We start from the raw sequence: 11,851 nt of genomic DNA on the forward strand, positions 1-11,851 counted from the left end.
CTCAGCCTCCCAAGTAGCTGGGATTACAGGTGCACACCACCACACCCGGCTAATTTTTGTATTTTTAGCAGAGTTGGAGTTTCACCATGTTGGCCAGGCTGGTCTCAAACTCCTGACCTCAAGTGATGCGCCCACCTTGGCCTCCCAAAGTTCTGGGATTACAGGCGTGAGCCACTGTGCCCAGCCAGTCACTCTTACCGGTATGTTTTCTGCCATGTGTTAGAAAGCCACTTTGATTTAATTAAAAGCAAAAGGTACAAGACAAAACAGAATACGTGTCTGTAGTGGTCTGTAAAGCTCAGGAGAGACTTGCGATTCCAGGTTAGTACAAACGGACCCATTTCCTCTTTATTATTTATTTATTTTGAGACAAGGTCCAGCTCTGTCGCCCAGGCTGGAGTGCAGTGGCACGATCTCAGCTCACTGCAACCTCTGCCTCCTGGACTCAAACCATCCTCCCACCTCAGCTTCCTGAGTAGCTGGGACTACAGGCATGCACCACCACACCCGGCTAACGTTTGTGTTTTTGGTAGAGGTGAGGTCTCACTGTGTTATTTAGGCTGATCTCGAACTCCTGGGCGCAAGCGATCCTCCCACTCAGCCTCCCAAAGTGTTGCGATAACAGGCGTGAGCCACCGCACCCGGCCTTACTTTTTATTGTTTATTTATTAGAGATGGTGGGGGAGGGTCTCACTATGTTGCTCAGGCTGATCTCGAACTCTTGGGCTCAAGCCATCCTCCCACCTCAGCCTCCCAAAGTGTTGGGATAACAGGCATGAGCCACTGCGCCCGGCCTTACTTTTTATTGTTTATTTATTAGAGATGGTGGGGGAGGGTCTCGCTCTATTGCCCAGGCTGGTTTGGAACTGCTGGTCTCAAGCCATTATCCCACTTCAGCCTCCCAAAGTGCTGGGATTGCAGGTGTGAGCCAGCACAGATCCATTTTCAAGTCCTTTTTCTCCTTTTCATTTTGAGACAGTCTCACTCTGTCACCCAGGCTGGAGTGAGGTGGCATGATCTCGGCTCACTGCAACCCCCGCCTCCCAGGTTCAAGCAATTCTCCTGTCTCAGCCTCCTGAGTAGCTGGGATTACAGGTGCCCACCACCACGTGCAGCTAATTTTGTATTTCTAAAGACAGGGTTTCACCTTGTTGGCCAGGCTGGTCTCGAACTCCTGATCTCAGGTGATCCGCCCGCCTAGGCCTCCCAAAGGATTCCAAGCCACAATTAGGCATAAGACACCATACCTGGCCATCTTCTTCTTCTCTGAGAAACAAGCTATCAAAAAAAAAAAAAAAAAAAAGAGAGAGAGAGAAACGAGCCCTCAGAGAGGCTCACCTGCTGTCACCCAGTCCTCTGACACCTCCCGCTTCTCTTTCTCAGCCACTGGCTTCCTGGCTCTAAGGCGATTCACCTAAGCCCAATACACCTAGCCTTGCCTTCGGTTTGAGGTGAGCCTCCGGGGTTCTGTTACAGGGCTGTCATTAGGGCTGGGCAGTCTTAAGCCAGGAAATTCTCACCAGGCTGGTTTCCAGGTGGCACATTAAAGCTCTTCTCTTGGGCTAACCCTGTGAGTTGAGGACTCCTGGGAACAATTGAGGCATTTTCTGGAGAGCTTGTGTAAAAGCTCACACTTTTTACTAAACCCTCCAGCTCACAAGAGGCCTTGGGGCTCTTCCAGATTGCTTCGGGCACACTAACCAGCTTAGTGGCTTTTGAGCCTTTGTTTTCCAGAGGGTCATGTTAAATGTGGTTCCTCAAAGTATGGGGCACATACTAGCAGGGGGCCTCAAGATGACTTAGGGTGACAGGCACAAACTTTTTTTTTAACAGTATCACTCTCAGCATAGTGACTTTTTTTGTTTTTGTTTGTTTTTTGAGACAGTCTCACTCTGTCGCCCAGGCTGGAGTGCAGCAGCTCGTTGCAACCTCTGCCTCCCAGGTTCAAGTGATTCTACTGCCTCAGCCTCCTGAGTAGCTGGGATTACAGGCATGCACCACCACACCCAGCTAAGTTTTGTATTTTTAGTAGAGACGGGGTTTCACCATGTTGGCCAGGCTGGTCTCGAACTCCTGACCTCTGGTGATCCACCTACCTAGGCCTCCCAATGTGCTGGGATTACAGGTGTGAGCCACCACACCTGGCTGAGCCTTGATTCTTAAAACAATCCACATTTTGCCTTCACCGCCACAGCGTACACTGGTATTCTGCTCTGCTATTTTCTTTTCACTCCACCGACAGTCCCCAGCTAAGGATTCTTTATCTCATCAACAGTTCTAAATGGGTGATTCTGTCGTTCCATGGGGCTTCTGGCCACCATAGACACCTCAAAGAAACAACGTGGATGATAGCGCTTTTTAAATCACAGTTGTGAGTTTTCCACGGACCAAGAACTCCATTACCCACTGGAGCTGCCAAGACAACCTCACCCTAATCTAGGTTAAGAGCATGGATTTCTCTCTCTCTCTCTTTTTTTTAATAGAGATGGAGTGTCTCACTATGTTGGCCAGGGTGGTTTTGAACTCCTTGTCTCAAACGGTCCTCCCTCCTCAGCCTCTGAAAGTGCTGGGATTACAGGCATGAGCCGTATGTCCAGCCTAATTTCTCTTATTTCTTTTCTGTCAATCAGGAGGGCACCTGAATAGGAAAAATGACTAAAGGGGTTATATGGAGCTGCCAGGGGACACTGTGTCATTAAGTCTTACATAGCAAGACCCCATCTCTACAAAAATAAATTCGTGCCCAGAGAGGTTTACTCGTATTCATAGGAGGAATTAAATACCCCAAGAGCATTCCCCAAATCCAAACACCACAGTTAAAAACTGGTGTGAGTAAAGACGAGACTATTAGCATTGGATTAGGTCAAGACTATTAGGCCTGACTGTCTTAGGGAAAATGCTTAGATGTATACAAAGGGATAAATAGCCAGAAAAAAATTTTTTTTCTTTTTTTGAGTCAGAGTCTCGCTCTGTTGCCCAGACTGCAGTGCAGTGGCGCAATCTCAGCTCATGCAACCTCCACCTCCCAGGTTCAAGCAATCTCTCGCCTCAGCTTCCTGAAAGCTGAGATTACAGGTGTGCACCACCATGCCCAGCTAATTTTTGTATTTTTTGTAGACACAGGGTTTTGCCATCTTGGCCAGGCTGGTCTCAAACTCCTGGCCTCAAGTGATCCACCCGCCTTGGCCTCCCAAAGTGCTGGGATGACAGGCGTGAACCACTGCACCTGGCTGGATTTTCTATAGGTAGAATTTTAGTTGGTTATTCACAAATTATATTCATTTTACTGTTTCAAAACTACAATTCAAAGGGACAATTATTTTTGTCCATTTCAAATAACAGTACACTACTTTTTCATTCTTCCAACCCGATCTTAGGGACTTCATTTCAGAGTCTCTGTCAACAGACAATAAGCAGCAATAATGAAGCACTATCTCTATTTAACACCCAAGAAGTGCCAGGTGGTACACTTACATGAAACCTAATAATCTCGTCTTTACCCATACTGAAGTGTAATTATGTTATTTGGATTCTGGGTGTGCTCCGGTGGGGTTGAGTGGGATTTATTTCACCTGTGCATACAAGTAAAACTCTCTGGGGATTAGAAAAAAATTTTTTTAGAGATGGGGTCTTGCTATGTTGCCCAGGCTGGAGTGTGGTGATGCAATCACAGCTCACTGCAGCCTCCAACTCCTGAGCTCAAGTGATTCTCCTGCCTTAGCCTCTCAAGTAGCTGGGACTACAGGTGGTCACCTGTATTTTTGTATTTTTTGTAGAGACAGGTTCTTGCTATGTTGCCAGGGGTGGTCTGAACTCCTAGCCTCAAGTGATCCTCCCACCTGAGCCTCCCAAAGTGCAGGGATCACAGGCATGAACCACCATGGCTGGCCTCTTTGCACATTTGAGCATATTCATTAATTAGCACTTTTTGATTTCGTTGTTATTTTTCTAAGTTTGCATTTTGTAAAAAAAAAAAAAAAAAAAAAGGAGCATTTCCAAGTCTTTGATGGGAAGTATAATTTGAAAATAATTTTTTCAAGTTACCTGAGTTTAGTCATTACATGAATTTCATACAAATTTCCTATTCAACATGTATCTCACAATAAAAAGAATGAAAGGAGATGCAGTAAAATTTTAATCCTAGTTATCTCCAGCTGGAAGGATTACAGAACAGGGAGAGAAGACTGGAGCCTTTATGAACGTGCAGCTGGGCCAGGTGTAGGGGCTCATGCCTGCAATCCCAGCACTTTGGGAGGCCGAGGCGGGTGGATCACCTGAGGTCAGGAGTTCGAGACCACCCTGGCCAACATGGTGAAACCCCATCTCTACTGAAAGTACAAAAATTTGCCAGGCGTGGTGGCAGACGCCTGTAATTCCAGCTACTTGTGAGGCTGAGGCAGGAGAATCACTTGAACCCAGGAGGTGGTGGTTGCAGCCAGCTGAGATCACACCACTGTGCTCCAGCCTGGGTGACAGAGAGAGATTCCATCTCAAAAAAATAATAAATAAATAAATAAAAAGAAATAAAATAAAGTGCAGCATGGTAACTACAGAAAATGAAGGAAAAAAATTAAAATTAAAATTTTAAAAAAGACCAGTCTGGACAACATAGGGAGACCGTGTCGCTACAAAAAAACTTAAAAATTAGCTGGGTGTGGTAGCATGCACCTGTGGTCCCAGCTACTCGGGAGGCTGAGGTGGGAGGATCCCTTGAGCCTGGAAGTTGAGGCCACAGTGAGCCATGATCATGCCACTACACTCCAATCTGGGTGATAGAGTGAGACCCTGTCTCAAAAATAAATTAATAAAATAAATAAAATGAAAAGAGATGCAGAGTTTGCCCAATAATTATCATTAAACCAAAGTAGTAATAAATTCTTTATTCTTTATTTTTTATTTTTATTTTTGAGACAGAGTCTCGCTCTGTTGCCCCCAGGCTGGAGTGCAGTGGCGTGATCTTGGCCTACTGCAACATCTACCTCCTGAGTTCAAGTGATCTTCCCACCTCAGTTTCCCAAGTAGCTGGGATTATAAGTGCCTGCCACCATGCCCAGCTAATTTTTGTATTGTTACTTGAGATGGGGTTTCACCATGTTGGCCAGGCTGGTCTCAAACTCCCAACCTCAGGTGATCCACCCGCCTCAGCCTCCCAAAGTGCTGGGATTACAGGCATGAGCCACCGCACGTGGCCCAAAGTAGTAATAAATTCTGATTTCAAAAAAATCTTTCATGCCTAGAGTGTGTCCCACACTCAAATTAATGAAAGCTTGGCATGCTATTCTGTTCCCAAAATTTCTATTCATTGTTTGACTCATTTGCATGTATTTTCATGTACTGAAGGAGACTGTTAAATATAACATACCCAAAACGAAATCAAAACTCTAGAGAAAATTAGAACAATCCAGAAAAGGGATTGACAGACATATAACCAACTTTATCTTTGCGCTTGCCTTCTCAATTTTTACCTAATTTGTAGATGACCACAGGTCTACCTCAAGAGAGCTTGTTCTCAGCACCAAAATGATGTACGTCGACTTTGTTGTTGTTGAGACAGAGTTTCGCTCTTGTTGCCCAGGCCAGAGTGCAATGGTGCAGTCTCAGCTCAACGCAACTGCCGCCTCCCCAGTTCAAGCAATTCTCCTGCCTCAGCCTCCCGAGTAGCTGGGATTACAGGCATGCACCACCACGCCTGGCTAATTTTGTATTTTTAGTAGAGACAGGGTTTCACCATGTTGGTCAGGCTGGTCTCGAACTCCCGATCTCAGATGATCTGCCCACCTTGGCCTCCCAAAGTACTGGAATTATAGGTATGAGCCACCACGCCTGGCCATATATTGACTTTGAAATGAAAGTCCATGGCCAGGCGTGGTGCCTCACACCTGTAATCCCAACACTTCGGAAGGCCAAGGTTCAAGGATCACTTGAGCCCAGGAGTTTGAGACTAGCTGGGGCAACATAGCAAGATCCCATCTCAAAATTTAAAAGTTAGCTGGGCGTGGTGGTGCGGCTATTGTCCCAACTATTCAGGAGGATGCCTTGACCCACGGAGTTGGAGGCTACAGTGAGCTGTGATCGCACCACTGCACTCCAGTCTGGATGATAGACCAACAACCTAGCTCAAAAAAAAAAAAGAAAGAAAGAAAGAAAGAAAGAAAGAAATGAAGGTCTAGATTGCAACGTAGGTCACAGAGTTGAAAAACTAGGCATCCTATTATTTTCCCTAATTGCTGATAAAACAGGACTGGAAGTGTGGGCTTTCATTTTGACCATTTTTACTTAATTGTAATTTTGGCTTATAGTTTGGGAGAGTAGTTCATATTTTGGTAGGACATGATTTATTTATTTATTTATTTATTTATTTATTTATTTATTGAGATGGAGTCTCACTCTGTCACCAGGCTGGAGCGCGGTGGCACGATCTCGGCTCACTGCAACCTCCGCCTCCCGGGTTGGCAATTCTCCTGCCTCAGCCTTCCAAATAGCTGGGACTACAGGCGCCTGCCACCGCACTAGGGTAATTTTTGTATTTTTAGTAGAGACGGGGTTTCACCATGTTGGCCAGACTGGTCTTGAACCCCTGACCTCAGGTGATCCACCCACCTCGGCCTCCCAAAGTGCTGGGATTACAGGCATGAGTCACCACGCCCGGCCAGGACATGATCTTAAAACCAGCTTTGTGTGTTTGCTTTGGCAGCCTGTATACTAAAATTGGAACAATACAGAGATTAGCATAAAAAAATAAAAATTTAAAAACCAGCTTTGTGAATGTTTAGTTGTTGACTAATAAGAATTATTAAAATACTTCAAACATTATCTAGTATTTTGCTTCAGCATCTGTACATGATGAAGTATTTATAAGATTTTGTAAATACTATAAGTACCACTAATTAGTAAATACTTTAGCAATTTGTAAATACTAAGTATTTTAATATTTAGCACTACTATATAATTGCACAAAATCTAATTAATTAGTATTTTGTAATAGTTATTTGCTAAGTACTGCTACTCAGTAAATATGTTAGTATTTTGTAAGTAGTCATTTGCTAAGTACTGCTACACAGTAAATACTTTCATATTTTGTAAGCAGTCATTTGCTAAGTACGGCTATTCAGTAAATGTTTTAGTATTCTGTAGGTAGTCATTTGCTAAGTACTGATACTCATAAATGCTTTAGGATTTTGTAAGTAGTTATTTACTAAGTAGTAGTACTTAGTAGAGACGTAGTAGCAGTATTTACAAAGTAGTTCTTTCTAGCTCATAAGCAACGGATAGCAAAACAGTGATGATAGGAAATACTTGCCTATTTGTACAGGTTTACAAGCTACGTAGTTAATTCTCTGTCATGACTGCAGTTTAAGTTTATGGAATGGGTACTCAGGAATCCAACTGCAAGCAAAAACCTATCTTCTATCTCTTCTGCTCATGTTAAGGTATGAGGTTACTTTGCAAACACTTAAGAAGACAGATGAAATTGGAATCACCAGGATGGTTTCCACCTGGCCTGTTAATTTATTCACTGGAAAGACTCTTCATTTGCATATGTTTTCACAGGTTTCAAAAAGTCAACTTGTTTTTGGCGGGGTGTATAGATTTTGACATTGTTTTCCTAGGGGCTCTACAATGACTGTAAATCTATTCACCTTAAATTGTTATGTTTTTGAGACAGGGTCTCGGTGTGTTGCCCAGGCTGGCATACAGGGGAGCAATCATGGCTCACTGCAGCCTCCACCTCCCCAGGCTCAGGTGATCCTCCCACCTCAGCCTCCTGAGTAGCTTGGACTACAGGTGCATGCCACCCCGCTCAGCTAAGTTTTGTATTTTTAGTAGAGACGGGGTTTCACCATGTTGGCCAGGCTGATCTCAATCTCCTGACCTCAAGTGATCTGCCCGCCTTGGCCTCCTAAAGTGCTGGGATTACAGATGTGAGCCACTGTTCCTGGCCGGAACTGTGACTTTCTACTTGGAACTGAGCTCCCTTTCCAACACCAAAATGTGTCTTTCCCACAGCTCATTCCCTTGGAATTTTGAGTTCGCAAATTCTTTGTGCAAAACGTCTAACTTCTATTTCTGTAACTGAACTTGATTCGAATTCCCATTGTGCTGGGAGTCAGAATCTTAATTATGTCAGGTAATTAAGCAACCTCTTCTCCCTTCTTACCATAGGCTGGGGGAGAGAGTCGAGGCCCCAGATGGGACTGGAGTATTCTCAGTCCGAATAGTGAACACAGAGTCATCCTCAATCCTCTCTACTCTCGTGGTCTTGAGGGGCCACTGCTACCTCCTCCTGGTCCTGACCTTGAGGCTTCTCAGCACTGGCTTTCTCTGAATTCCTTTTATGCACAAGTAAATCATTCAGCTTCTTCCTGAACAATAAGGATATCTCGTCCAGATACCCCTGTTCCCTGGTTACTCTACTGTTACTGAGCCATGCTGGACCCAGAGGGGAACTCTGCAAAGCTCACCACCTCCCCCAGCTTCCCCAGGGAGAAAGACACACACACCCTCTCCTCTGAGACCTCCAAACCTATGCGGGTATCTGTCATCACTACCACTCCTGCCTCGTACCCGTCCACACCCAAGGACTGTGTTTGGAGAGGCAGATGCATTGAGCTCTAAGCGTTCTTGCATCCTTAACTTTGAAACCATAAAAGCATGTTCTTTTCTTTGATCTCTGCATGTTTAATTTTGTTTTTTGTCATCTCCCTCTTTCGATGCCTCCTGCAATGAATTCTATGTGGGAGGAAGGGAGAGGCAAACATGTACAAGGACACAGAGGTATCCTGGGAGAAACTGTGACTCATACTATAAAATATTAATCTCACTCACTTGTATAGCACCTTGTGCTTTATTTTTATTTATTTATTTATTTATTTATTTATTTATTTATTTTTTGAGGCAGAGTCTCACTCCATCCCGCTGCTGGAGTGCAGTGGCGCAATCTCAGCTCACTGCAACCTCCGCCTCCCAGGTTCAAGCAATTCTCCTGCCTCGGTCTCCCGAGTAGCTGGGACTACAGGCACCTGCCACCACGCATGGCTATTTATTTTTATTTTTTAGTAGAGACGATGTTTCACCATGTTGGGCCTCAAACTCCTGACCTCAAGTGATCTGCCAGCCTCGGCCTCCCAAAGTGCTGGGATTACAGGCATGAGCCACCACACCCAGCCAAAACATGTATTTCTCATGGAATAATTTCATGCACTAGAGCAAGCTAATTGGGAAAGTCAATAGCAAGGAGCAGTAGCAATCGTTTATGAAATAATGATGAGGTGCTGGCACCTGATGCACATTCATAGTCCCATTTAACTCTTCAAGTGAAACTCTCACTTGGCAGGAATTTACTATTAGCCATTTTCCAAATAAGAGATACAGACAAGAGAGTCTCCATCTCTTCTTTGGTGCAAGGAGATTGGTGCAGTCGGTGAGTGGCAAAAGTGGATATGTACCCAGATCTGTCTCCAGTCCAAATTCCAACTCATCACTTCCCTAAAAGTGGTCTATTCTGCCAGGCTGGATAAGGGAAGTGGTTCTGCTTCCAAACTTAATATGTGACAGATAAGGCAATCTAAACCAAAGTCTTCTTGAGCTTGGTCAAACCATATGCTGCCAAGGCTTGAATCCACATAACTGTAACAAGCCATCCCAACTATGCCACAACCCACACACCTCAAAGGCAAGGGAATCCCAGGCAGCAAGGTCCAGGAACAGCCACTCTGGGGAGTCTGCCACCTCTGATATTGCTCCCGTGGCACACACGGTGCCCCATCTGCCTCCAGACCTGCGCTGAAGGAATGGGGGAAAGGGGCAAACTTTGTAGGTGTGGGTGATCCAGTGGTCACTTGAGGTCTCTCAAACAAGGACTCTGTAGATGATGTTAATGGGCCAAACGGAATGCACATCTGCCCTTAAGTGTGTTTCTTTTCTTTCTTTTCTTCTTTCTTTCTTTCTTTTTTTTTTTTTTTTGTTGAGACAGGGTCTGGATCTGTTGCCCAGGCTGGAGTGTAGTGGTGCAATCTTGGCTCACTGCAACCTCCACCTACTGGGTTCAAGTAATTCTTCTGCCTCAAGCCTCCCAAGTAGCTGGAACCACAGGCATGTGCCACCACGCCTGGCTAGTTTTTTGTATTTTAGTAGAGACGGGGCTGGTCTGGAACTCCGGGCCTCAAGTGATCCACCCACCTTGGCCTCCCAAAGTGCTGGGATTACAGCTATGAGCCACCGTGGCTAGCCTTGTTTATTTCTAAATGAGGCTTCCTTTGTGTCTCTACATTTCCTTCTACAAAAAAAACTGCCATGGCACAGGGGCTTATGCCTACAATCCCAGCACTTGGAGAGCCCAAGGCCAGTGGATCACTTGAGTCCAGGAGTTCGAGACCAGCCTGGGTTAACATAGTGAGACCCCAGCTCTACGAAAAATTTAAAAATTAGCCAGCCATGGTGGCATGCACCTGTGGTCCCAGCTATTCGGGAGGCTGAGGTGGGAGGATCACTTGAGCCCAGGAGTTCCAGGCTGCAGTGACGTCTGATCTGGCCACTGCAATCCAGCCTGGGCAACAGAGCAAAGTGCTGTTTTAGAATAAAATACTTTTTAAATAAACTAAAAACAAAACAATGGACCTGGTGTGGGTGGCTCACATCTGTAATCCCAGCACTTTGGGAGGGCAGGTGAGGCAGAATAGGGAATGAGGGTAACCAAGGGTTAAGGCATAAACAAAAGAACAGCAGGTGCAGCCAGTTCTAGGCAAGATTAGGCAGCATAGAGGCCACGTGTTCATTCCCTCAATCAGAGGCTGATTGATGGACGACGGGGGGGGGGGCGGGGGGGAGGGTGACAGCCTCTGATTGACGGGGGGGGGGGGGGGGGCGGGTGCGCGTCTCCACTTCAGCCTCTGATTGGTCACAGGCCAATCCTTCAGAGGGTGTAACCAATCGGAGACCTCTAACGGGCACCTAGGGGCGTTACCTAATTCTTCCAGCTTAATAAAAATCCTAATGGGGGCTCTTGAGCTGTTTGCTCTAGCTTGCTCCTGCTCTGTGAGTTGTACTTTCGCTTCAATAAATCTGTTTCTTCCTTACTTCAGTTTTTTCTTTTGTTTCTTTTCGTTGCTTTGTTCTTTTGTTACTTTGTGCATTGCATTTTGTTCAGTTCTGTGTTCAACAAGCCAAGAACCTGGGCAATCCACGGTCAAGACCTTCCATCCAGTAGCAGAGGCAGGAGGATCCCCTGATGCCAAGAGTTAGAGAGCAGCCGGGGCAACAAAGTGAGACCCTGTCTCTACTATCTATCTATCTATTTTTTAATTATCTGGGCATGGTAGTGCATGCCTGTGGTCTCAGCTACTCCTCAGGCTGAGGTGGGAAGATCCCTTGAGCCCAGGAGTTGAGGCTGCAGTGAGCTATGATGGCACCACTGCACTGCAACCTGGGTGACAAAGCGAGATCTTGTCTCTAAATTAAATTTAAAACAATACCACCAAAACAACAACAGGCTGGGCGGTGGTGTCTCACGCCTGTAATCGGAGCACTTTGGGAGGCCGAAGTGGGAGACCATTTGAGGCCAGGAGTTCGAGAGCAGCCTGGGCAACACAGACCCCACCTCTACAAAAAAATAAAACTGGCCTTGGTGGCGCGCGCCTGTAATCCTAGCTACTTGGGAGGCTGAGGCAGGGGGATTGCTTGAGTCTCGGACGTTGAGGCTGCAGTGAGCTGAGATCGCGCCACTACACTCCAGCCTGGATGACAAACTGAGACCCTATCAGAAAAAACAACAACAAAAAAAAAACAGTGCCCGCTCGGTTTTTCCTGAAACGCGCAGCCCTCGCCTGTAGCCAGGAGAAAACTCCGCGAGCCA

The 11,851-nt window shown here is 45.8% G+C and overlaps 1 annotated feature.

Annotated features, from left to right (window-relative positions):
- Positions 11,118-11,197: an enhancer, noted in NCBI's record as "active region_25613". NCBI's record gives its function as "activates an Ori minimal core promoter by ATAC-STARR-seq in GM12878 lymphoblastoid cells {active_cell/tissue: GM12878}" and the evidence as "EXISTENCE:reporter gene assay evidence [ECO:0000049][PMID:35858748]".

Source organism: Homo sapiens, chromosome 7, assembly GCF_000001405.40.
Source record: "Homo sapiens chromosome 7, GRCh38.p14 Primary Assembly".
Taxonomy (NCBI): Eukaryota; Metazoa; Chordata; class Mammalia; order Primates; family Hominidae; genus Homo; species Homo sapiens.